We start from the raw sequence: 27,429 nt of genomic DNA on the forward strand, positions 1-27,429 counted from the left end.
ACCGAGCCCCTCCTACTGGCCAACCCAGTCTCCATCCCTCCCCAAACATACCCCAGGCTCTAGCCCTGCTTCGCAGCACCCTCACCAGAACCAGATTGGGGGTAGGAGAGCTAAGCAGCATCTTGGGTCACCTAACTAAAAACAGTACAAAATCTGCAATGAAAGAAGTCAGAAAAAACAAAATTCCTGTTAAGCCAAGTTTCCACTCACTAACTCTGAATGGTTCTTGCTTCTGGCAAAGCTGACTTTTTTCATGGTCGAGGCAACATTCTGACCGCAAAGATCTCTCTCTCTCTCTCTCTGTCACAGTCTCTCTCTCTCTCTCTCTCTCTCTCTCTGTCATGCTCTCTCTCTCTCTGTCGCGGTCTCTCTCTCTTTCTCTCTCTCTCTCTCTCGTGCTTTTGCACCATGCACCTGCAAGTTGCACAGAGCTACAGCAGATTTTATCACCAACCTGGGGCTTGGCCAACGTAGAATTGACAGCTATGGTCAGCTACAATCCTGAACCCGATACTGCATGTGGTTTCCTAAAAATGAAGGATTTGTGTTACCTACATTATAAACCTTTAATTGTCCTCCCAAGAAATTGCTAGTTCGGAAATTAACAAAAGGAAGCTGAAGAAGAGAAAAGAAGGAAGAAAGAAAGGTGAGGGTGGGCTGGGGCAGTGGGGCAGGGGGGGATAATTTGCTATAACAAAAGGCAATAAAGGGAAATTTTAAACATATGTCATATAGTACTTCATAATTATATCCACAAACATAATCTCTATCTTGGCCAAATGTGTGTAACTATAGCTATCCACAAGAGATCCAATTCCAAACAAGTTTTAATGTTATAACTGGGTTATGGACTTGATTCCTTATTTTGAATATAAAACAACATATGTATTGCTAATTTTTCAAAGGGGCTTTCTAAATAAATATTGAATGAAAGTCAGTTTGAAGGGCCCCTGCAAGTCTCTGCCTAACCAGGTCTCCCACAGGCCTTCCTCATTGTTCCCTCTAAGGCTTTGCACAGCAGGCAGCTCCACCAAGAACAGGCGCCCCGTCATGGTACAAATCTTCCAGAGCCTTCTAAAGCTTTTGCCTTGGGGAAGCCATTGTTAAGCACTCCAGCTTCCATCAAAAAATCACTTCTCTGATCATCAACTTCATTAGAGGCAGGGCCACACAAATTAGCCCTTGATTGTTTTTAAATTGCTTTCTGTATGACTTTTCTCTCCAACTACCTGATGAACTCCATATTTCATTTTTTTCTGTGTCCTTTACAGCATGCGGCTCTGTACTCTGTACATAGTAGAAGCTCAGTAGAAATTGGCTGATTGATTAATTATGAAAGGGCCCATAGATCAGGAGATACTCCACAAGAAAGAAGAAAAAATTCCACGACAGAATACTTGACACACACTTTACAATTTATCATGCACCTTCACAAACATGACTTTATCTTGAGTCCCTTAACAACTCTGAGAGACAGTCAGGACAGCAATTATATTGCTTGATTATAACCATGGTAATTGAGTTTTAGAAAGTCTAAAGCAAAGTTGTGAAACTCATGCGTAGCAGAACTGGGGATAGAATCTCCACTTCTAACTCTCAGTGCTGGGTACTATTTAAGCTGGAAGCCAAACACACAGCACTTGTTGGTAAACGCATCTGTCTTTGAGAACTGACCACGAAGTCAACAGCAGACCACTTGAGAAGACAAGGGGACATTTGACAAAGTAAATGTCAACGTTACGCACAATGTCCCACCATCCCAACCTCGACTCCTGCCTCTGCCATAGTACTAAGTGAATAATGTCCCCCTCCAAATTCATATCAACCTAGGACATGCAATGTTATTTGGAAATGGGGTCTTGCACATGTACGTAGTTAAGAAGATGTCATGTTGGATTATATTGGGCCATAAATCCAGTTATTGGTGTCCTTATAAGAAGGAGAGAGAACACACAGAGATACACACAGAGAAGAAGGCCAGGTGTGGTGGTTCATGCCTGTAATACCAACACTTTGAGAAGCTGAGGTGGGAGGATCACTCAAAGCCAGGAGTTCAAGACCAACCAGGGAAACAGCAAGATCCCATCTCTACAAATTTTTTTTTTTAAATTAGCCAGGTATGGTGGTGCATGCCTGCAATCCCACCTACTTGGGAGGCTAAGTCTGGAGGATCCCTTGAGCCTGGGAGTTCGAGGCTGCAATGAGCTATAATCATGCCACTGCATTCCAGCCTGGGAAACAGAGCAAGACCCCATCTCTAAAAATAAAAAAAACAAAAATGAAAAGATAGAAGAGGCAGAGGTTTTTGTGGTACAGTTTCAAATCCAGCAACCACCAGCATCTATGAGATAGGCAAGGAAGAGGTTCTCAGTCAGACTTTCCAGAGGAAGGCCCTGCCCATGCCTCAATTTCACACTTATAGCCACCAGAACTGCCAGAGAATAAATGCTCTTTGTTGAAGCCACCCAGTTTGTGGCAATTTGTTACAGCAGCCTTAGGTAGTCAACAGTGCTAGAACTTCATACTCAAGAAATGCCTCTGAGTTTGTTTCCCTGAAGACATTACCAATGCTGACTGCACACTCAAAAGGGCCTTTTCCCACTCTTTTTTATTTAGCTCACCCAAATCTATCCTTTAAGAAGTGGTTCAGTGTCACTTTCCCCAGGAAAACTTATCTAGCCCCATCGTATCAGGAGAGGCCAGGGACCCTTCACCATGCCCAGGCATATGTCTATGGTAGCACTTATCATGCTGCATTGAGATACAGGGTCTACACATCTGACTTCCCCACTAGATCCTGATCTGTGTTGGGGAAGGTGTCCATGTCCCCCAGCGCTTTGCAGATGCTCGTTATCGTCTTACGATGGGATGTTGTGGAGCTAGTTTACAGTATCAGAGTAGATCTCCTTTTGTTTTCTACTTTTCCAGCCATGTCTCTGTCAAGTACTAGCTGGGTGATCACAGTCAATTACTTAATCTCTCTGTTTGCTTCTCTGCTAAGTGGGGACAGTGACAACTCCTGCCTTCTCCAGGGCTTGTGAAGATGAAAGATCACTCATATATATAAAGCATTTAGAACACGTGTGGAAAGTGCATGATAAAAGCCAGCCACTATTTTTACCCTGCCCAGAACAACAATGCTCCCTGGCTCCAGACCCCATAACAGTTACAAGGCCAAAAAATAAGACACCACTTCAAGATATGTGGGAAAAGACTAGGAATAGCATTTAGGGAAGCAGGATTTTAATCTCAGGTCTGACCACTTTGGTCAAGTCATGGTACTTCTTTATTTTCACCTTTGTAATAAGAAGGGTTTAGATTAGATTGATTCTTCCCCATCTAGACTCTAGGATGTTTAGGGACTTGTAAAAGTGACACTCAGCTTCTCAAGCTATGCAGAATATTTCAGATCTGAAGGAAAGCATGTATATTAAGAGTAGTAACACTGATGACACTAACCAAATGCCAAGCTTCTCTATGTTTAGAGGGAATTATCTTAACCCCACATAAAAATACTGTTTACTTAAAACTGACTTGCGATTTTGGTCAGCAGTTACTTACATTTTGCAAAAATCAAAGTATCACACACACAAAAAAAAAACCCAGGTAAAACTAAATCACCTTTTTTACTTAAAAATGCTGTTTCCCATACAGATCATTTTTTCCCAAAGCATCTGACCCACGGGTCTGAAGATAATAAAAGGGTGAAAAACGGAGACTCTCAATGGACTGCGTGAACACTGAAGTCCTTTCTGTCTCTAACGCTGGAGGGATTACTGAAAATTTCTCTAAGGCAATTGACCATAACAATTTATTTCTCACTTAATTTTACTCTGTGGCCCCAAGGGAAAAATGTCTTCCAGGGGGAAAAAAAATGTAAGATCCGAGTAAGGATTCTAAAGATAAAAGCATGTGAAGAGAAAATTTAAACAGCTGACAATGTCAAAACAGAAGATAGAAATGAATTTGGGTGTTTAAAACAACAACAGCAAAAGCCAAATGGCCTGAAGTAGAAATGGCAACAATAGACCTTAGAAGTATAATAGGCCCTTCACTGCGTTTGTAAGTAAATTTCGAGTTCCTATGAATGGGGTGGGAGCAGGGTTCATACATGGTCAGGGTGTGGGAAATCAGGAACACATTTTCTCTGTTTACAAAGCCATACGCTGGGGGTATTCAGGGCAGATGTGAATGCTCTTCTCAATCAGTTAACACTGGGATGCAAACCTCTCACAGCCCCTGGGAGCACAGAATCTGAGTAGGAAGTGAGGTGAGTAGAATAAAGTGTTATTATATCCTTCTGAGAATACAGCGTGCTAGTGGAGAGAGTATCAGTAATAATAATACATGCAGAAAGTGCTTTGAAAACAAAATGCTAAATAAATATGACTTATGTCAGTTGGGCCTTATGAAAAATCTATACCTTCGATATTATTATTATTATTATTTTTAGAGACAGTGTCTCACTCTGTTGCCCAGACTGGAGTGCAGTGGCACAATCATAGCTCACTGCAGCCTCTGATTCCTAAACTCAAGCAATCCTCCAGCCTCAGCCTCCTGAGGAGCGGGGTCTATAGGTATGTACCACCATGCCTGGCTAATTAAAAAAAAAAAATTGTAGACACAGGGTCTCACTATCTTGTCCAAGCTGGTTTTGAACTCCTGGCCTTAAGTGTTCCTCTTGCCAGCATCCCAAAGTTCCGGGTTTACAGGTGTGAGCCACTGCACCCACTCACCCAGAACAGCAGTCATCCCTGGCCCCGGACCCAGCAATGGCTTCAATGCCCAAAAATAAGACACCATTTCTTATTCTCCAGACAACGTCTTTATATATTCAGTCTCTCAATTCTTAGGTATAAGCCTGTACAAAAGAAAGTTGATTCATATAATTACCAATATACACTCTTAAAGCCCCTGAGAAGTATTGGGGGTGACTTCCACGCTGTGTCCAATAGATCAAAATGCATAGCGGAAAGTATATATTCACCTACAAATGTACACACAGTGTAACAAAAGCATCAACTATCACTCTCAAAAAGTAAGACGATTTTATTGCTTTTTCTGTTTACTGGTTTGCTTTTATATTATGCTCAATAAATTATAGAAAAATGATTTGATAAATAAATCATTGGTAGATCAAGGTTTTTCAAAACCCAGGAAACAGCAGAGAAAAAAGGTTTCCACGGGGACTTTGATAAAGAATGCAAACAGATGCTTCTTGCTCTGAAATCCAAACATCTTTCCCACTGTAAACTGTCCTTGCGGTTATTGGCAGCACCGGAGCTTGATTAAAGGGGATTGTGCACCTGACCAGAGTGGCAAGGACCATCTTGAGCCTGTACAACTACAACACTAGCTTGAGTGCAGTCATCTCTGTTTTTTTGCCACTTTAAGCTAATTGTCAAGTGGCTGTGAACCCCATTGTCTCTGACCATTAGCATAAGACACTAAATGGCTATTATATGAAAGGATTCAGATCTGATTGCTGGATAATTTCAAGAAGTAAAAAACGAATTCTATTCTTTCTGCTAATAGATACTCTCCCAATGGGAAGCACGATTCCAGTAGCCATAGAGTTCGGAGGTTACATAAAAGCTGGTGTAGGCCAACTCTCCCATGGCTTAATAAGTTTTTCTGAGAGGAATGTGCCTACGAAATTGGTATCCTCCTCCCTCCCTCCTGCGGCCTCCATCTGGTAAAATCCATTCATGTCCCCAAGCTCCAGCTCAAATGCCAACTCTTCAGGAGCACCTTCCCTGACCAGAGCCCCTTGGCATGATCCGCTTGCCTTTTGTCTCCATGTTTCTTTGTGCAGGATGTTAATAAACACTTATGCTGTGATATTATAGCTACTCTTTATACAATGTCAATCTCCCATACTACATTATGAATTTCTTTAAGGCAACACTGCGTCTTATTTAGCTGTTTTGTCAGTGCCTGCATGTGATGCTTGGCAAGTCACAGTACGCCTCCTATCTACCACTTCATTTAATGTTCACCATAGTCCAGTGAGGAAAGTAAAATATGATGATTATGGCCTGCCTGACTGAGAAAACTGGGCCTTCAAGAGATCAATTATTTGCCCAGGGTCCTAACGCTAAGGGCTAAAAAAAAACTAGACTCAGTCCCGGCTCTTAGCAGCTTGCAAAGTTTTCAAGACATCTTTTGCTTCCAATAAGCTCTAAAGGCTGCTTCAACAAGGCAGTAAAGACAGATCTGCAGTGTTCCAGATTAGTCTGTGTATGAACAGCTCATTTTGTGACACCAAGAGGCATGCTTAGAATTTGTTAAAAACACCAGCCTTGATGCTCACAACCTCTGCTCATAGGCAGTTCTCTTGCTCCCTCTTTTTATCCCCTGTGAAAAATACACAAGTGAAGGTTTTGTAAAGTTTCTTCAGTGATCATGTATTAATTTTTAATGAGAAAAGAAAACCGTCATCTACATGGCAGCAGAAAGAAAACAAGATCACAAGCACACGGATGGTGTGGGGTATAAATTCTACGCCTGCAGCCTCCTCTTAACTCAAAGGGCGAGGAATTTCTGTGTTTAATCCACAGTGTTTATTAGGAGGAGCCTCTGCAGCTGGTGGATATGAATATTCTACTCATTAGGAAAAGTAACCCCTGCTGGGAGGAAGGAATATTTATTTCATCAGCCTTTGCCTTGGCCTGGCTGAAATAAGCCCTTTGCTCTGACTTGACTCCCTCAAAGCGACTTTATAATTGTCACTTGTCTTCCCAAGCAAATGTTCCTTCAGAGGGAGGGATCAAGAAGCCTGGGTATTTTTATTTGCAAAATATGCACACTCTTCATTATAAATTAACAAACAAGACATTCTGTTTTATACACCAGAGGAAAAATAAAGTATGTAGAAAGTGAAGTATCTAATATTTCTGACAGATTTGCCCCTGAGGTCCTGTCTTCTTAATACTTCATCATGTTGTGGTCCTGCCTCCCCTTACCCAGCCTTGCTCTCTGCCCCACAACCTCTGTGTATTCTCACTGTTTATGGTCCCAGTGCAATGTCATCAAAAACTCCTCCAATACTATATGGGCAAGTTCTGGCAGGAAAATAAAAAAACCTCGATATATATCATAGTACCTGTAATATTTAGTGAGAACTATTTCTACTCACTCAGCTTTTCTATGAATCTGGACTAGACTACAATTCCTACACCTGCAAAGTTCTCAGTACACAGAACAAATCATCTGAGGATATCACGTGGTACCAGATACTCACATTTTCTGACCGGAGCCTCTTGGCAGGACACCCTCCATCCCTGGGGTGAAGCATGTAATACAGTCGGACTTTGCTTGCATGTTTTCGACTCTGGGAAGGAAAAGCATAAGCAGATACTGTAAAAGATAAGCCATTTCAAACCCTTTGAAACCTAGCCAGTGCCCGCAAATGCAAAAAGAAATGTATTTTCAGTAGAAGACACTTCTGCATACTCCTGTGAGGGATGTAGGATGTAGTTTCAGATAGGTTAAGTGGCTTGCCCCAAGTTCTAAAGCCAATGTAATTTCAGGATGAGAAAACACAGTAATGAAGAAGGTGAAGGCATTGAAATCATGTAGCCTAGGGTGGATAATATACTATATTTAATTTTCCTCAAAAATAAAAACAAATAAGCAAAGGAAATAACATAAGCATTAATTGTGATAAGAAGAGGCACAGTGATCTCTCTCACTACTGCTGCCCTGCCCTCAGGGTCTGGGGACAATGCCTCCTTGGGAGCCTGGTGCACCTCACCCCCAATAGAAGCCTTTTCTCATGGCTCTCCCACACACAGACTTCATTAATAAGCTATCAAAAGGGATGGGATTCTCTAAGGTCAGATATCATGAGCAAACTAAAGAGAATTGTATGTCAGTCTGCGGACTGACCACAGCCTAAGCTACCTGCCAGCAGATGATGCAGTTGAGCAAATAAAGACTCATTTTCTTTGGAATTAGCAGGATTGTTGATTTCTGGCTATACTGACTGGTCCATGCCCAGCATGGAGAAACTGATGCCTTCTTTGTTCCCTATTTCCTCTTCTTTGCTCAACTGAGAGTTTCATCCCGGATTCCCATCACGTTTAAAGAATACAGTCAGAACTTCAAGTTTCTACCTGAGGCAGGATGGCGGAGTGAAAAGAACACTAAGAGTCATCACACATTCAGAATCTGGGTTCCAGCTCTACCACTTCCTAGCTGTGTGATATTAGGCCAGTCTCTTATTGGAATGTGTTTATATCAGAATGAGTCACATTTTCTCCATGTACAAAATGAATACCACAACATTTGCTAGGGTGTCATAAGAATCAAATGAGACATTGCATATGAAAAATTGCAATCTGCATAATATTAAACATTTTTCACTGTTGACTGCATCACCTCTCGAATCTATTGTTCCCTAATTCCAATCCCCCTTCCCTTTCCTTTACTCAGAGGTTATTTCCTGCTTTTCCAGGCTTTTGTTCCACTATGACTTTATTTACAGTTGCATCCTAGCCCATCTCCTGGATGGTGGTTTACTTTTATGAATCAGCCATGAAGGCAAAGTGATTTTCAGAGAACACATAGAAAGTTGCATCTTGTTTACAGGATAGATTGTAAATCCTTCCTGTCCATTTTCCTCATTCATCACTTTCTTAATTCCTATATTCTGTCTAGAGCAACAAAAGACCAAGCTTCTAGACAATCCCTGAACACTTTTAAGGCCTTTAAATGGGTTTAAAAGTGCCAATGAAACATGAAAAATTTTTACAAATGTGTAAAAGTACTGAAATGTGACTTAGAAATATATTGTCAACACTTATAGCACCATTTCTAGGTTACATAGTAGGTTTTAATCAAAGGTCATCTGGAGTTTTTTTTGTTTGTTTGTTTGTTTATTTTTGTCTAGAAGATTTTTTAAGAGAAACAGACATGTAGATGTATGTCAGATGAGTCAACATTATTTTGCGGCTTCTACATGTTTTTGAAAATGACAATGCAGGCTTATATTTTTCTCTTTGCAAATAAATTTGCAGCTTACTAACATCTGTACATATTTTCTGCCATTTTGCTGAGGGTATTTTAGAGGTAAGGAAGGAGTCATGGTTATATTGGGACTACTACTACAGTCAAAAGAATAAAAAGGAACATTTAACCTGCAAGATGCTGAATGTGGACAGAGCCTGAGCTGGTGATAAAGCACGCAGACGATAATGGGTGGAAAAATAAGTGGGAACAATGTGAGCTCAAATGTGGCTGAAGTGGATTTTCAATTTTACATTTGTTACCATAGAGGAACTTCTTTTCACATTCCCTGCATTATCAATCTCCTAAAGCTCTGGATTTCCAGAGAATGAAATTATGGCAAAACTGGAAATCTCATCATGCGGCCTGGTTTGTGGCTGTTTTTTTTTTTTCCTCTTAATCTAAAGTATTCCATTTCTTTTAAAAAGACCTTCTAGTAAAGGCAGAGTTCACTGAGTTATTTAATTACAGCTAGACAAACTAGTCAGAACCCATTGGCTGAAAAGGAAAGGAAAATAAATGCCAAGCTCTGATATGAAGCCATTAGTGATGTGAGATGTTGGGATTTGAGGCTTATTAGTGATTTTGATCAGTACAGGCCTGTTTTCCTCCCTCGGGGCCCCCCACCTCCAGTTTTGGCAGGAAAAGGAATGGCTACACCTCAGGCAGTGCCCTTGCCTAGGGTTTCCGGTGAGGAAAATCAGAGCTTTGGCAAATACCACCTGATTCTGGAATGATGGCGGAGGCATCCTAGTTCATTATTTAGCAGCATTCCTTTTCCCTGGGCACCGTTTTTCCCTCTCTTTGCTTTCCCCAAGGTGCCTGGACCAGATTCACTGCTTTCCCTGCCCACAACTTCCAGCAGGAAGTGAAAATCTGCAGACTTCTCAGGGGGAGGAGTGTGGAGTCACATTCCCAATTGGCCTGACTCAAATCCAAAGCTGCTTCCAAATTACGTTGGTTGACAAAGGGAAAGAGGTTCCCTGCAGATCGTTCCTGGGGTTTCTACAGCTTGCCCTGCCTCCAACCTAGGCCTGTGGCACCTGAGGATGGAGACCTGCCAGGGAGCCCCCTCCTTCCTTCCTCCCTCCCTCCTTCCCTCCCTCCCTCCCTTTCTTCCTCCCTTTCTTTCTTTCTCTCTCATTTTTTTTTTTTTTTTGTGACAGAGTCTCGTTCTGTCGCCCAGGCTGGAGTGCAATGGCACAATCTCAGCTCACTGCAACCTCCACCTCCCAGGTTCAAGCAATTATCCTGCCTCAGCCTCCCCAGTAGCTGGGATTATAGGAGCGTGCCACCACGCCTGGCTAGTTTTTGTATTTGTAGTAGAGACAGGGTTTCACCATGTTGGCCAGGCTGGTCTCTAACTCATGGCCTCAAGTGAGCCGCCCACCTCAGCCATCCTTTCCTTTCTTCCTGGCTTTCTCACCCCTCTCTCTAAATGAGACTCTGAGACACTTACAGTGTCTTCCTCTAACTGGCTCCTCTCTACCCTGTACCTACTGGAAATTCTATGAGATTTGGCACAGTAATCTCACTCCTTTCAATTTATTCTAAAAAACAAACAAATGAACAAAAACTTTCCTACAACAAGAAAGTTAAAATTAATTGAAACAAAGATATCCATTGCCGCATTACCTAAATAGGAACAAAAAATTAGGGAGACAATTGCAGATTTAACAACAGAAGGCTGATAAAGCAGCCGTGGCATGCCCTGTGTTAAAGGGAGAATTGCGGGGGGGAAGAAACTTTATATATATACACACACACTCACATATATATAAAGGTTTTTAAATGTATATTATATATATACATATATATGTACCTACATATATAATGAATGTTGAAAGAAAAATGCTAAACTCAAAACTGCACAGATACTATGATTACAATTACACAAAAGTGCTTAAGTAGATAATACAGGTAGAAAAGAAAAAGAAAAAAAACCCATGATTCATTAGGATATGGGGAGTATGACTGGTTTTTATTTTTTATTTTTATAACAAATTTGCCTATAACATAAATATAATAATAATAATTTTGCAATGCTTAAGCCATTTTGATTTCACATTGTGTATACTTTTTACCCACAATTATTGTAATTAGTAAAAAGCATCACTGATCAGAAATGCTGTTAATGTATACTGGTATAATTGTCCACATTTTCATCAACCCTTGTTAATGTCTTATTAACATTCAAAATGCATTTCTGTTTCATTGGAGTACTTGGTATTAGATGAGCCTTCTTAACCCAAGAGCAATATATGCTACTTCCAATTTTAAAACTTCATTTTAGTACATACATATGCCAGGGTACATAAGTGTCACTTTCACTTTCTGTGTATAAATAGAGACTAGAGGATGGGTAGGCCTAAGCTATACGCACAACTACACTGTGAAGGACTGGAGGAAAAGCTACATCTGAAACTGGCTCTTACGTCATCCAAATAAACACAAGCAAAAACACATCCTTATTACTTTTTCCCAAGATTTATTAGTACCAAAATTTCCACTGCTTTTAAGAGTCTGAAAAGACAGGCAAACTGCCAAGTGAAAAGAACTTTAAGGAGAACACTTAATACCCACTTGTTAAATGTATATATTACAGAGTTTCAGGGGGAAAAAAAGAACCATTACATTAAGGGAAAAGACATGAAAAAGAATTAACAATCTCTTCCAATTACACTGAGAGTCAATCCCAGGCTCTTTTTTGCATTAATATTTGCATTTTGAGCAAAACTCATTTATTTCATTCAAACCACATCAACTTTAAGCTTCCCAGATCAACCAGAAATTACCAACTCTTCCATTTTAATTAAAGCCTTTACCCCCGATCCTAGGCATTGTGCGGGGACAGACCTATCTGAAGATTAGTTTCTTTTGCTGAAACAATCTCTTGGCACTCAAGGAAATAGTCTAAAATGGAAATTCAGGCCAGCCTTCTCTTTGGGGGAATAAAGAACAAGACAAACCTCTATTTCAGATGTATTGCTGTGAAAGAAGGAGGTGAAACACATAGAAATAGAATGGCTTTTTGCCTCACCTAAATAACCATCTTCCATTATCACACATGCCTCAAAAAAATTCACAACTCAAATTTGCTTCCAGCAGGGCTACTGATTTCTGGTATCATAAAACGTGGCGATAACAAAGCAACCTTGTATTTGCATAATGCTTCAGGCAGTCTTCAAAGTCCTTCCACCTTCATCATCTTATTTCATCCCCGAATCACAGTTGTGAGGCTGGCAGGAGAGGTGTTATCTCAAATAAGCTTTAAGATCCATTTCTGATTTCCTAGATAAGTCTTCCACCATCTTATTTCATCAGAAGGATCTAATTATACCTCTTCTAGAAACCAGCTAAAATAAGCCGAGGACCTCAATAAAACAGGAAAACCTGGAACAAAGAGTGATTCTCACATGCCACCACATTTGAGGTCATTCCGGGGAGAAGAGGAGCCAATAGGGAAGGGACAGCAAACACCAAACATCTAGAACACGGGTTCCTGCAAAACAACCGGCTGATGCGAGATGAGGGACTCCATCACACAGGATGAAATGAAAGGGCATCCTGGCAAAACCCCAGGAAGCATCCCTTCACTGAGGGTCCCAGGGATGAGCCCTGGAAAAGGTGCAGCATGGTCTCACTAGGAGGCAGGGTCAAATGCAGACAAGACAAATAGAAAACCACAAGTGCTGGGGATTCCCTCTAACGAATGGAACTCTTTTCCAAATGGATGTATCTTCTCTTATTTGTCAGGGGAAGAACATTGGGCACAGAAACTCCGTGTACCTAGAATGAATGATGGGTCAACTAAAACTCTAGGAAGAGAAAGCTGGTCCCTAAAGGAAGGCTTCTCCAACATAGGGAAGGAAGAAGTCAAACTCCTCTGCTGGAAGACCCCGAGGTGCCAGGTCCCAGACCTCCTGCCCAGGCCACTGGGCTACTGAAATGGTCTTTAACTGAGTCCTAGTGCTAAAATCAAATCAGAAGATTCTAAAAGGCTTTAGGTAGATGTTGGAAAGATCCAAGGCCAATCACACATAGCAGGGAAACATGGCTGGCTTTAATAACCTTCTGCTCTGCCAAAGATTGGTGGCATCTATAAAAAAAAAACTGTGAAAAAAATATGAAAGAAGGTTTTGAGAAACTATCAAGGAAATTAAGCAATTGTTTGCAAAATATTTACTACAATAAGTAGAAGTTTTAAATGGCACTTTTTTGTCATTTAATTCAAGAAAATATCAACAGGGTAAAAGCTGAAAGATGAGATAAGACAACAGATTGAGATAAGGTATTAGGGTCTGAGTTAATACAGAATGGAAATTCAAAACATCATAGCTTTATCTTGAAGGTCTTTCACTTTAATAGCAGAATCAACACAGGAGATCTATGTAGAAGTCAAGATAGAGACAATTTCTAGAATGCTTAGAATAAAAAGTAAAATGAGAAAAAAAAAGAAACTAAAGATCTTATATATGAAAAAACAGAACAAATATAATATGGCTTTAATGGCAGAATAAACAGACAAATACATGGAATATAATAAAAAGTCCCAAAATAGAGTCAATAATTTGGGACTAAAAGAAAACTAGGAAAATATATTTAACCTTGTGATGGGAAAGTTTTCTAAGCAAAGAAAGAAAAAAATGCAGGACTGATGGACCTGGCTACAAATTTGAAATACGTATGTGTAAGAAGAAAACCACAAAGTAGGAAAAATATTTGCAGCATGTAAAAGAAAATGGCTTTACTATCTTTGAGATCAGAAGTGTCCTCACAAATTTATTCAGAAAGAAACAACATTAAAATAGACAAAGGATAGAAATAGGAATTGTAGAAATACTAATAGTTAAAAGACTTACAAAAAGAAATTCATCCAAGTGCTACCTTACAACTGTTTAATTTAAAAAATGTGTTTCTTTCTCCCATCAAATTGGCAAGGATTTACAAAATATATATATCCATATTGGTGAAGATGCAGAAAAAGCTAGCACTTGTGTACATAGATAATAGGCATGTAAATTGATACAAGCTTCCTGGATGGAAATTTTGTAATATATATCCAAAGCAAAAACTTGTTTGAGTCAACAATCCTACTTCTTTGAATTTATTCTAAGGAAGCAATCAGAGACATGTATTTCCATTTATTTATAGTAGTAAACATGGGAAAATAAGTTAAATGCCCTAAAACAAGAGGGATAAATATTGTAATATATCCATATAATAGATACCAAAGAGCCACTGGCAAGCATAATGATAATATTCAATGACATAGAAATATATATATATAATAAATATTAAAAGGCAGTTTCTAATCAGAATATAAATTTTTAAACAAAAACGTATATGCATCTGTATGCATATACAAGGCAAAGATCTAGGAAGAAATGTACAAAAGGATTAGCATTGTTTATATGGATTACAAGTGACTTTAAGTTTTCTTATTAATGCTTTTTTGAAATTTTAGATTACTTAGAAGATCAAATCATTCCAATAATCAGATGGAAAAATCATCATTTTAAAGATTCATTCTAACACTGATGATTTATCATTCTAATAGTCCTACCTTAAGATGAGGAATATATGTCCCAGAAAGACCAAGAGATTTTCTCAAGGTCCCACAACTTACAAGTTTTCAGTGAACAGAGATTATATCTGTTGGTTTCACTGTTGTATCCCCAAAATCTATCACAATGCCTGACACATGGCCGGTGCTCAATAAAGATTTGTCATTTCAGTGATTGAGCATGTGAAGGAAAGAATAAGTTAACCTCGGAACAAGAACCCAAGACCCTTGAAGAATTAAGACCATTGTGTAAAAGTGTCGTGTACATTTGAAACATGTTGTTACAGATCCCGTTGCGTTCCAAAAATGAAATTGAAAGACTCACACATCTACTTCCATCTCTAAACTCCATGGCTGCAGTACAGGTCAGAGAGGAGCAAGGGAGCCCACAGACCAGAGATAGTCCTAAGCGGCATTGCCCACAGGCATTTGACAGAGTGCACGGTGGAGGAAACGTCTCAGCAGGTGAGCTGATGAAGACTGCAGTTGAAGCATAAGCTCTGAAGAAACTGAGGGTTTGCTGCAACTGGTGCAAAAGTGGAGATTCAGGGTGGCAGCTGTCTTGCTGCAGAGTCCACAGCTCAAACAGAGGCAGTGTGTTGAGGAAGAGAGGTTTGGGACAAGGCAGAATTAACTCCTCTACTGTTTCCAAGAGTCAGGGATCCACTAGATACTAGCTTGGTAAAGTGTCCTTAGACCTGTGATCAGATATGCAGGCTTCTGTGGCTGAAGGTGCCATGCCTTAGCTTTTAATTATAGGATCGTGGACATTTGTTTTATTCTGGACTGAATTGTGTTGCAGCCCTCATGCCCAATGTGACTGTATCTGGAAGCAGGGTCTGTCAGGAGGTAATTAAGGTTAGGTGAAGTCACAAGGGTGGGGCCCTAACTGATAGGACCGGTGTCTTTATATGAAGGGGAAGAGACATCAGAGATTGTGCTCTCTGTCCATGTGCACAGAGAAAAGGCCATGTGAGGATACAGCAAGAAGGCGGCTGTCTACACGCCAGGAGAGAGCCATCGCCAGAAACCGACCCTGCTGCCACCTTGATCATGGACTTCTAGCCTCCAAAACAGCAAAAAAATAAATATCTGTTGGTTAAGCCCCCAAATCTGGTATCTTGTTATGACACAGCCTAGGCTGACTAATACATATGCCATCCATCTACACTAGATGTTCTCCTGGGGTCTTTCTTCTTCTACACAGCAATCCGTTCAATTTCCAAAAGCAAAAAGGGTAGTCCCAATGTTTCTAGAATTAGGTCACTTCGTTTCTTCCAAAATATGTTTAAAACAGCATTTAAAGTGAGGAACACTTACCATAAAAAGTATTAGGAAAAAGCAAATTTTTGCTGGAGAAAAAAATCATGTACGGTGGGATGTGCAGTGCCTGTGATTGTGGAATCATGTTTGTAATTATCTACGTGGCTGTCTGCCTACACAAGTGACTACATCAACGTGTTACAATTTTAAATAAAAGTCCTGCAACTCAAAAAATTAAATTACCACCAAAGCCTGGAGGAACAGTTTTCTGTGGTGTTCAGTACAGAGCTAAATATGTCTCTATGATGTCTGTGCATTTTAAACAGAGTCACATGAGAAATAAAAGAACACAGGCTCATCTAGGCTTCTCTTTTGCAGTTTGGGGAAAAAAGCACTATTTCCCCAGAAAGCCCTTGAAGAGAAGTTAAAGGTAGGGATAAGAGAAAAAATAAAGCCAATGTGATCAGTATTAAAGTCAGAGAAGACTGGGTAATGTGAAGTAACAAAGTTAACAAATCCTTCTGAAATGTGGAATCTTAAACAACATGAGCCAATCCTGAGCTACAGTTTCTGATGTCTCAGGTTTCTTCTATAAAATTTGTGGCTGGACTAAGAACCTGTGTGGAGTCCAAAAATTAACCCCACTACTGGCAAGAGCAAGGACTAGTGTGATAGCCACCGATTTCTTTCTTTTTTTTTTTTTTGTAAAGTCATGAGTTTATTGCGTATGTAACAAAATGAACCTGACCTCCTGGGTCCAGCCTGCTGTACAATCACTGTTTGTTTTGTGTTTCCAGCTGGTTCCATAACCACATTAAATAGAACTAGTATTTCATTAAATACTTTTGATTTTGACATAAAACAGAACAACAGTGTACAACTTTCACAAAATAAATCAGTGATGAAAACAATGGGAAGGATAACAGGGATAGCAGCAATACTTAAAAACAAGATATTACAAAATAAATTTAAAAATACATTATAAAGTGGTTGAGAAACAAAAATAAACAAATTTTTAAAATCCACACTATGTTTTGGGAAGGTTGCCGTGCAGCACACACCTGGCTGCAGATGGGCGGGGAGAGGGGACATTTTGTCTGCAGAAGGCCTTTCCTGACATCTCAGACTGAGTGACAACCTAATCTGAATTCAGACCATAAGGCTGAACAAGCTTAGGGGTTGCAATTCGATCTGGTGGGAGATTCTCTTTTCTTGAGAGAGCCCTTTTCCTGTTGCCCCGGGCCTCCCAGGCAGCCTCAGCTCTTCCTACCGAAAGCACTGGTGGAGTGGTGTTAGCTACATCCCTGAGTGTTGGCCGATGGCCACTGGTGAGGGCAAGCCTGAAAAGCAGGGCCCCTGAAGCATCTGGGCAGAGGGGCGGAGGGCATGGCTGGATCACCTGGGATCACTGAGAGGGGCCACAGAGAGATCACATGTGAATGGATAGCCACTGATTTCGAGTGAGGTTTAGTCTGTGGGAAAAAACAACGGACAAGTGTCCCCACCCTTATGTGAATGACAAGGCAGGCAGGGCAGTCTCTCAGACAACCCCAATAAGGTCAACAGCTGCAACAAGGCTCCCAGGAGCTCCCCCAACATACTCTGATCACCTCATTATTCTGTATAACATTTTTATATTAGATTATCTTTTTACCCTATTACTTTATACTTTGTAGCATGTATCATTAATTATTCTCAAATTGAACTCGGTTATTCTGAGTGAATCTTCCATTTCTCTTGATCCAACCCCACAACACACCTTTAAATATTCTGCACAGGGCTGTTGCTCTTTAAATACTCGTTAACTATTTAAGTAGCTAGGTAAATCGGATTACAGTAAACACAACTTAAACAAAACTCGCTTTAAACAGAGCAATAATAGAAGAAAAAGTTGGATTAACTAAACAAACAAAATTGTAGAGTATTTGCTGAACAAAGAGATTCTCCATCTCTCATCAAATTATATTTTAAAAGTCAAATTCCTAGGGTGCACTTAAAATGTGACTTTATTTTTGAAGATTTTGTATCCACATTATTTTCAAAAAATACTTCTAGGAATACATAACATTTATAACCTGAAAAAAGTGATCAGCGAATTCTATAAAGAACATTTCTCAGTGTAAAATAATGTGCACAGAACAGCCTATCTGTTGCTCCCATCTCTACACTAATGTTGCCCTCCCCACCCTTGAGTCAGTTTTTTGCACAGAAAATTACTCAGTGGAAGTGGGGCAGGGATGAAAATTCTCTCACCAGTGCAGCTGGGGCCAGCTATAATACTGTAGAAAAATAGGTAAGCAGCTTTGTTTCACCTAATGACGGGAAAACAGAAATTTTTTCTTTTGAATCCCATCTTTCTGAGTCCCCAAACAGAGTTAAGTACTCCAAAGCATATTTGATTATTCCACCAGTATTTGTTTTATTTAATCCAACTTTACAGGCCTTAGGGGAAGAAGGAACATGCTGCCAGCTGCAATTCCATTATCACCTGCAGCTCAACCCCCACCTGCTTTTCAATTTTTCTATTTGCTTACTCAAAGACCCAGATTTTAGTCTGTTTGCAGGTTGCTTTCAATTGATGGCATGATGAAAGAAAAACAGGGAATTTCTGAAATACGTAATCCATCATCTCTAGCCAGGTGGTTGAGTAGAGGATTTTTTGAGTTGCAGGACTTTTATTTTAAATTGTAATGCATCCTCAACTCAACCACCTGGCTAGAGAAGCTGGATTATATATTTTGGAAATATATTATCTGTATTTAATCAATACTAATATGGTTTGGCTGTGTCACCACCCAAATTTCATCTTGAATTGTGGCTCCCATAATTCCCATAATTCATGTTGTGGGAGGGACCTGGTGGGAGATAATTGAATCATGGGTGCAGTTTCCCCAAATACTGTTCTCATGGTAGTGAATAAGTCTCACAAGATCTGATGGTTTAATAAGTGGAAACCTCTCTTGCTTGGCTTTCATTCTCTCTTGCCTGCCACCATGTAAGACATGCTTTTTGCCTTCCACCATGATTGCGAGGCCTCCCCAACCACGTAGAACCTCTTTTTCTTTATAAATTACCCAGTCTCAGGAATGTCTTTATCAGCAGGGTGAAAACTGAACTAATGCAAGTACCCACCCACCAAGAAACGCCCAGAGCTCTATGTCATGCCTCTCCCTCAACTAGAGGGACCAGAGAGAAGCCAGAGAGAAACACAGGCAGAGGTTTACATTTCTAGAGGTGAGGGCACGCAAAGCACCCACTCCTGGGGAGAGCTGAGAGGGGACTGCCGGAGGTCAAACTGCAAGAGTCCTTTCCTTTCCATTCTCTCTCAGTTTGATCCTTGGATCACCTATTCAGAATCACAGGGAGTTTTTTTAAAAGGCAGTTTCGTGACTGAATAATAAGAATTACTAGGGATAGAGTTTGGGGCATTAGATGTTTCACCAGCTCCCCCAGTGCTTCCTAGGAAAATGGATTTTTAAAAATTGCGGCTTTCCTTTCCTCTCTTTTCAACTCTCCCATCTCTCCCTGGTGGCTGCCAAGCCCAGATTGGCAGGAAAAGAAACCAGACTGAGTGAGCTGTCTTCTGGCTTCAGCTGGATAGCACCTCAGTGAGAGGCAAAATCAGGGAGAAATAGTCTCAAGGCCAACCCGCCGGCAACCTGAAAACAGCAGGCTGAGAGGTGTGGAGCATGAAGGAAGCCCACTTTTGGCAGGGGCACTGCTCTAATGCCTTCCAGCTCTCAAGCTCTTCAACTGCCAGTTTTCATTTCTCAGAATCTTATCTTTCCCTCCCCTCCCAACTTTTTTTTCTCCTCTTCCTAACCACCTTCACAACCTTGCCCTTTAGCTATCCGAACACCCTACTGAAACTCAGTACAGATGCTCCTTGACTCACGATGGGATTTCTCCCCATAAGCCTGCGGTAAACTGAAATTGAAATGCATCACCTAAATCGAAATGCATTTGACACACCTAACCTACCCGACACCATAGCTTAGCCTGGCCTACCTTACACATGCTCAGAACACTTACATTAGCCTACAGCTGGCAAAAATCATCTACCACAAAGCCTGTTTTATAATATAGTGTTGACGATCTCATGTGAATTATTAAATACTGTACTGAAGTATGGCTTCTACAGAAGGTGTATCGTTTTCTCATAAAGTCGAACAATTGTTAAGTTGAAACATTGTAAGTTTGGGACTGTCTGCACTTCCAGAAAGAACCATTATCTTTCCTCCTATATCAAATCCCTTGCTCAATGTTCCTGTTTTAGTCCGGAGCACCGACATTCTTGTAGGCAACGGGCACAAAACCAAGTGAAACAAAAATATTGGAATATATGAACCAAGACTTTTAAATAAGAAAGATAAGTATATTTAAGAAGTTGAGAAGATATTACCAATATGAAGCAAAAACATGAAATCATAAAAAATATAAAGCAGACATATTAGGTAGTAGGAATATATACCATGGCCAAGTAAGATTTATTGGTTTAATAGATGAAAACCCATTAATGTAATGTACCACATTTATAGAAGGAAAGGCAAAAACCCTAAGATCATCTCAATAGAGCCAGAAAAAGCTTTGAACAAAATCTAACACCCTCTCATGACAAAAACACTCAACAACTAGGAATAGCAATGAAGTTTCCCAACCTGATAGGGCCATCTGTGAAAAACCCTACCAGCAAACTTCATGGTGGATCAGAAGCTTTCCCCCTAAGATGAGGAGCAAGACAAGAACATCCCCTTTTGCCACTTCCATTTGACACTGTAGTGGAGGTTCACAACAGGACAATTAAGCAACAAATTGTGGGGGTGAGGGAGGTGAGGGAAGCATCTAAACTGGAAAGAAGAAATAAAACTCTCTCTACTTGCAGATGACATAATCCTAACTGATCCACCAAAAATTACAATTAAGAAACGAATTCAGCCAGGCTGCAAGAAGCAAGATCAAAATACAAAAACCAATTGCATTTCTAAACACTAACAATTAACAATCTAAAAATGAAATTAAACAACTTCATTTCCAATAGCATAAAAAAAAACTACTTAGGAACAAGCTGATTCTAAAACTCACGTGGACTCAGATTAGCCAAAACAATCTTGCAATGAACAAAGTTGGAGAGCTCACACTCCCCAGTTCAAAACTTACTAAAAAGCTATAGTAATCAAGACAGGGTGGTACCGGCATAAAGATGGATATATAGATCAATGGAATAGAATTAAGAATCCATAAATAAGGCCGGGCGCGGTGGCTCACGCCTGTAATCCCAGCACTTTGGGAGGCCGAGGCGGGCGGATCACGAGGTCAGGAGTTCGAGACCATCCCGGCTAAAACGGTGAAACCCCGTCTCTACTAAAAATACAAAAAATTAGCCGGGCGTAGTGGCGGGCGCCTGTAGTCCCAGCTACTTGGGAGGCTGAGGCAGGAGAATGGCGTGAACCCGGGAGGCGGAGCTTGCAGTGAGCCGAGATCCCGCCACTGCACTCCAGCCTGGGCAACAGAGCGAGACTCCGTCTCAAAAAAAAAAAAAAAAAAAAAAAAAAAAAAGAAAAGAATCCATAAATAAATCCTTCCATTGGTGGTTAATGGATTTTTGACAACCATGCCAGCACAATTCAACAAATAATGATGGGACAATTAAATATATGCAAAACAGTGGAGTTGGACTCCTACCTCCTACCATATACAGAAGTTAACTCAAAATGTATTGTAGGCCTTGAAGTAACAGCCAAAACTATAAAAGCCTTTGAATATTTGTAACCTTGAGTTAAACAATGGCTTCTTAGATGTGACACCAAAAGCACATGTGACAAGAAAAATAAATAAATTGGATGTCATCAAAATTTTTAAATGTTGTGCTTCAAAGACACCGGTGGCTCACACCTGTAATCCCAGCATTTTGGGAGGCTGAGGTGGGTGGATCTCGAGGTCAGGAGTTCAAGACCAGCCTGGCCAATATGGTGAAACCCCGCCTCTACTAAAAAGATAAAAATTAGCTGGGCATGGTGGTGGGTGCCTGTAGTCCCAGCTGCTTGGAAGGCTGAGGCAGGAGAATCACTTGAACCCAGGAGGCAGAGGTTGCAGTGAGCCGAGATCATGCCACTGCATTCCAGCCTGGTGATAGAGCAAGACTCCGTCTCGAAAACAAGCAAACAAACAAACAAACAAACAAACAAAAACAAAAAGAAAGTGAAAAGACAACACACAGAATGGGAGAAATATTTTCAAATCATGTATCTGTTAAGGGACTTTTATCCCAAATGTGTAAACAATTTTTTCGACTTAATTATAAAAAGACAAATATCTCAATTAAAATCATGGGCAAAGGACTTAGTTAAAGAAAACCAGAGCTGGGCAGATGTTAAAGTGGTAAAGATAGATTTCATTCAAAAACTATTGCAAGAAGGGAAGAAATGCTCCAGCATGGAACTGGACTTGATTCCAAATACAATCAGAACAAGGGATTTATAGTCAAGGTGCGAGTTGTGAGGCTTGAGGGGAGGTATTGGTTCTCCAGAAGAGATATACAAATGGTCAATAAGTTGATGAAAAGATACTCACCATCACTGGTCATTGGTAAAATATTCACCATCATTGGTCACTGGAAAAATAGGTCCTTGGAATATCACTTCACACATGCTAAGGTGGCCATCAGAAAGACAGACAATAACAAGTGTTCCCCAAGGAAGTGGAGAAATTGAGACCTTACACACTCCTGGTGGGAACATAAAATGGTGTGGCCAGTTTGGCAAACAGTTTGGCAGTTCATGAAGAAGTGAGAGTTACCATATGACTCTGAAATTTCACTCATAGGTGTACGCTCATGAGAATTGAAAAACATATTCACACAAAAACTTGTCCATGACTGTAGTAGCATTATTCATAATAATCAGTATGTGGAAATAATTCATATATCCATCAACTGATGAATGGATTTTAAAACTGCAGTATATCCTATGATAAATATCATTCAGCTATAGAAAGGAATGAAACTCTCACACATGCTACAACATGGATATGCCTTGAAATATTACACTACGTGACAGAAGTCAGAAACAAGGGGCACACATGATATGATTCTACACATAAAAATATCCAGAATAAGCAAATCTACAGAGACTGAAAATAGATTAATGGTTGCTAGGGGCTTTACAAAGGGGAGAATAGGCACAGACTTTGTTTAATACTACTAACCTATGCTGCTAGTGAGTTTAGGGGTTTTGGAGGATGTGGTGTAAATGTTCTGGAAGCAGTGGTGGTGATCCATGCAAAACTCCACCAAATAACCATCACCAAACTATACACTTAAAATGGTAAACTTCATAGTATTTATATCAAAATAAAGCTGTTATTTAAAAATTAAAGTTATAAAAACTACTATAAATAACTACATAAACATAAGAGATGCATATCTAGGAAACATGATAAAAAATCCCAAGAATAAAAAAGAACTTGAAAAAAATCTCAAGTATTAAAGAAATTGAGGCCAGGCACAGTGGCTCACGCTTGTAATCCCAGCACTTTGGAAGGCCGAGGTGGGCGGATCACCTGAGGTCAGGAGTTTGAGACCAGCCCGGCCAACATGGTGAAACCCTGTCTCTACTAAAAATAAAAAAATTAGCTGGGCGTGGTGGCAGGTGCCTGTAATCCCAGCTACTTGGGAGGTTGAGGCAGGAGAATTGCTTGAACCCGTAAGGCGGAGGTTGCAGTGAGCAGAGAAGGCACCACTGCACTCCAGCCCTGGCAACAAGAGCGAAACTCCATCTCAAAAAATAATAATAACTGAAATGATCACCAACCACTTCCTCTCTTCTCTACCACCACCACCACCACCACCACTAACACCACCAACAATATTTTTTAGAGGTTCAAATGCCCAGATCATTTTATGAGGTTGATAGGTCCATTGCTTTTAAATGTTGATGCCAAAACCCTTAAGTAAAACTGAATACAACATTGTGTTTTTTAAAATAATATATCATGATCAATCATGGATTAATTAGTAATGCAAACATAGCACAACATGAAAAAATCAATATTATTCACCACATTAATAGACTAACAGAAGAAAAACTGCATATCTAAATCAATGCGGAAAAATCATTTGACAAAATCCGGCACCTATTTATAATATTTTAAAAATTCAAGTAGCTAGGGAAAGATAGGGCTGTTCTTCTCTCCATACAGGTTATATGAAAAATCGATAACAACCATTATACTTAATACGGAAATATTGATAGCATTCTTTTAAAGACTAGAAACAAGAAAAATATGGCCACTATCACTACTGCTGCCGAATATAGCACTGGAGTTCCCTGCCAAGAAAGAAAGAGATCTAAGAATAGGAAGGGAAGAGCTAAAACGTATTGTTTGCAAATAATAACAAACATTTATCCAGAATCCATACATAGACCCTTAAAACTCAGAGTTCCATCAGTTTGATGGACGTGAAGACACACTGCCCCGATCCCCATTCAACGGAGAATCATTACCCCTGCTCCCGGGGTTTGACAAACCCCAGCCTTTTCAGGGATCCCCTGAGCTGCAGAGAGCTGCCTTGCCTAAGGTCAAATCCATCCCAGGATGTGACGATAAAAGTACATAAGTCAGTAAATAATAAGAGAGGTGGCTTGCATAGACTGAGTTGAAAAACATATTATGAACTTTTAACATTCTGCATTCTCAGGTTAAATAATATTTAACTTGTACAAGTACACACTGTATAGAGCCAGGATTTGAACCCAGGCTTTCTGACTTCAGAGACTAAAGTCTTAACTCCAGTGCTGGACTGCAGGATATGTTTTCCTCGCACCCAAGATCACGCATTGCATATTGATGCTTCTAAGCGTTTGCTGATTCTCACCCCAGTTCCTGGGATACACATATGCCTCCCTTTGATATACTAGACTATGTATATGTAAACAGACCCTTCAATGTCTATTGCAAGACTGACCCGTCTCTGAAATCTTCTCCTGTATCTCCAGAACACTAATTTCATCCTATACTGACCTCTCACAGCTCTCATTGTCTTGGCCACATAGTTTAGCCCTTTCTGATTTTCATTTCGGCAATTCATAAAAGACAGATTAATAACTGCCCAGCTTGTCTCATGTGGTTCCAAACCACAACCCTTTGGCAAAGAACAATGCATGTTAGATCTTCTATATTCTAACAAGGTACAATGTACTGTAGGTGTCCAAAAAACGCTCCTTGGTTTGAAATGATTACCTCTGGTATATTAATTAGTCTCACTGTCTCAGACTGAAGTTAAAGCAAAGGAAACAGAAGTGTCTGTCAAACTCAGTTCTGCTTGTCTTTCTCAAACACATGGTCAGGATTCTATAATTTCTTCCTGACCCTCATCATTTTTGACAATCTAATTTTGATTCAGTCTCTTCACAAAAGTCAGCCTACAGATAAATATGCACATATAAAGTTAGTCCAAAACTACTGACAAGTGTTTAACCAATGTAATCATGCATTCAGGCTGGACATTTTCTCATCCAGGGAAAATAATAAAGTCTTCATCCTAACGTTATTGGGCACCACATTATGCAGTACCATGCATAACCCTTTCCCTCCCACCATCTGCTCTTAGCTAGATTTCAAATAAGCCTGGCCCACTTTTTTTTTACCTGCTAAATAATTTGCTGTTTCATAGAAATGTACTAAGATTCTGAAAACTGGTTAATAAGGGTGGAAAACGATGACCATTATTTTTTTTTAAAGGAGAGAGGGTTTAGCTGCCTTCAGCTCCTTGACAGCCCACTGCAGTTGTTTCTGACTTCCATGACAAAACACAGCAGCCAAGGGGAGGCTGTGGCTGTGGATTCCTTTCTTCCTTGCTGAATTAGGAAGCCAGAAGAAATTTGTGCCTTAAACACAACCATCTGTTCTCTTCTGCACAGCCCTTTCTTCTGGACTTCAACAAGGGGGTGATGTGTTGATTCTAAGTCACATTTCAATCCAATTTCTGGTATTTCTAATCTTACTCCTCTCTGCTGAGAGTGAATTTACAAAATTGGGCCAAAGTGAGAAAGGAAATTGACAAAGGTTTGAGTCCTATTAATATTCGTAGGCTTTTTTTACTAGATTAAACCAATTCTACCAAAAAAAGAAAAACAAGTTATGCTATATTTCAGCTATGAGAAAAGTTGAATGGTTATGAATTATAGAAGGTAAATAGTACACAGAAGTACATGACATTCATTCATTCATTCATTCATTCTTCAAACCTCTGATGCATACCGTACACAAACAAGGGTCAAAATATACCTCCTTAAGTAATCTGGAATGTGAAGTATTTTGGTTGAGTTATTGCTACCAAAACAAAGAACAGCCAGCATGCACGTTCTGGTTATTCTCTTGTGAAATCTCAGCATCTCCTTCTGTGAACATCCATTCATTAACCATCCTCATTCAGTCCTTGTGCCTCCCAACTTACGGGTCAGAATTCACACAGCCACCTTCTTCAGTGTGACATCTTCTTTTGGCTTAGTATGTCTAATGAAATTCCCCTTCCTCAAGAATTCTGGACCCTAGGATAGATGGGAACAAACAGACTGTGCTTACAGAAGAAAATTGGGATTGCATTTCACTGAAGGCTGTTCTAGGCCCACAAAGAGTAACTAGAATGTAATTTTGGATTCAGTTAACAAGATTAAAACAGAACAGACAGAGTCTGTCTCTGAATATAAAGATAGGTAACATTCCAAAACTGGTTTCACCCGAGAAATTTTTTCAATAAACACCAAGAGTGGTACATAAATTAATTGTAAAATGCTGACTAATATATGTTTCCTTAACTGTAAAATGTAAAGATAGAATATGAGAATTTCAAGTGTCCCAATCAATTTTAACACTCCGTATTCATTATATGGAGACTTTGAAATGCCATCCCAAATTTACAGCACTAAATGCTTATAATAGAAAAGAAGAAAGATCTGAAATCAATGACCTCAGCTTGCACCTTATAAAACTAGAAAAAGAACAGTACGGCAGTCTTCTTTTATAGAATAGGTTCCCAGACCCGCAGTGGGTGCCTGAAACTACAGATAGTGCCAATCCCCATCGCTGTCAATCAGAACATGTTCTGTCCATGTCATCCATCAATAAATTTAATGCCTTTCCATCTTAACTAAGCACTTATCACACACTGTGGTCATAACTTTTGTAGTTTGAAATGAGACAGCAAAAGTAACACAAATTTCTTTTTCTTCACAATTTCATGGATGGAAGATTTATTCTTGTGTAAATCTTAGCAACCTCAGCATACAATTTTTGTCCTTATTAAGTTGAGAACTTTCATGTTTTCACTTAAAGGAAACACTTTACAGCTTCTCTTTGGCATATCTGAGTTGCCAGCAACACTACTTTTGTGCTTTGGAGCCATTATTAAGTCAAGTAAGGGTGACTTGGACACAAGCATGGTGAGGCCTCATTAGTGGATCTGACAACCCGTGTGGTCTACAAGTGTGACTCACAGGCAGAGAGCACCCACAGTGCAGAGACACTGGGCAAAGGGAGGATTCACAGCCAGGGCGGGATGAACCTGGATGGTGTGAGGTTTCATGTGCTGCTCA

General features: G+C 40.0%; 1 protein-coding gene across 7 annotated transcripts in view; it reads right to left on the bottom strand.

Annotated features, from left to right (window-relative positions):
• ZMAT4 (zinc finger matrin-type 4) overlaps positions 1-27,429 on the bottom strand; it is a 367,237-nt gene that overhangs the window by 229,808 nt on the left and 110,000 nt on the right. For 4 of the 7 annotated variants that reach the window (NM_001135731.2, NM_024645.3, XM_017013836.3 and 1 more), the window contains exon 3: positions 7,244-7,333. In NM_001135731.2, the coding sequence (NP_001129203.1) occupies positions 7,244-7,333 (90 nt within the window). Of the gene's footprint in view, positions 1-454; positions 641-7,243; positions 7,334-26,291; positions 26,386-27,429 lie in introns of those variants that run through there. The other 3 variants (XM_024447275.2, XM_047422237.1, XM_017013840.2) reach the window with 2 other exon arrangements.

This window comes from Homo sapiens, chromosome 8 (assembly GCF_000001405.40).
Source record: "Homo sapiens chromosome 8, GRCh38.p14 Primary Assembly".
Taxonomy (NCBI): Eukaryota; Metazoa; Chordata; class Mammalia; order Primates; family Hominidae; genus Homo; species Homo sapiens.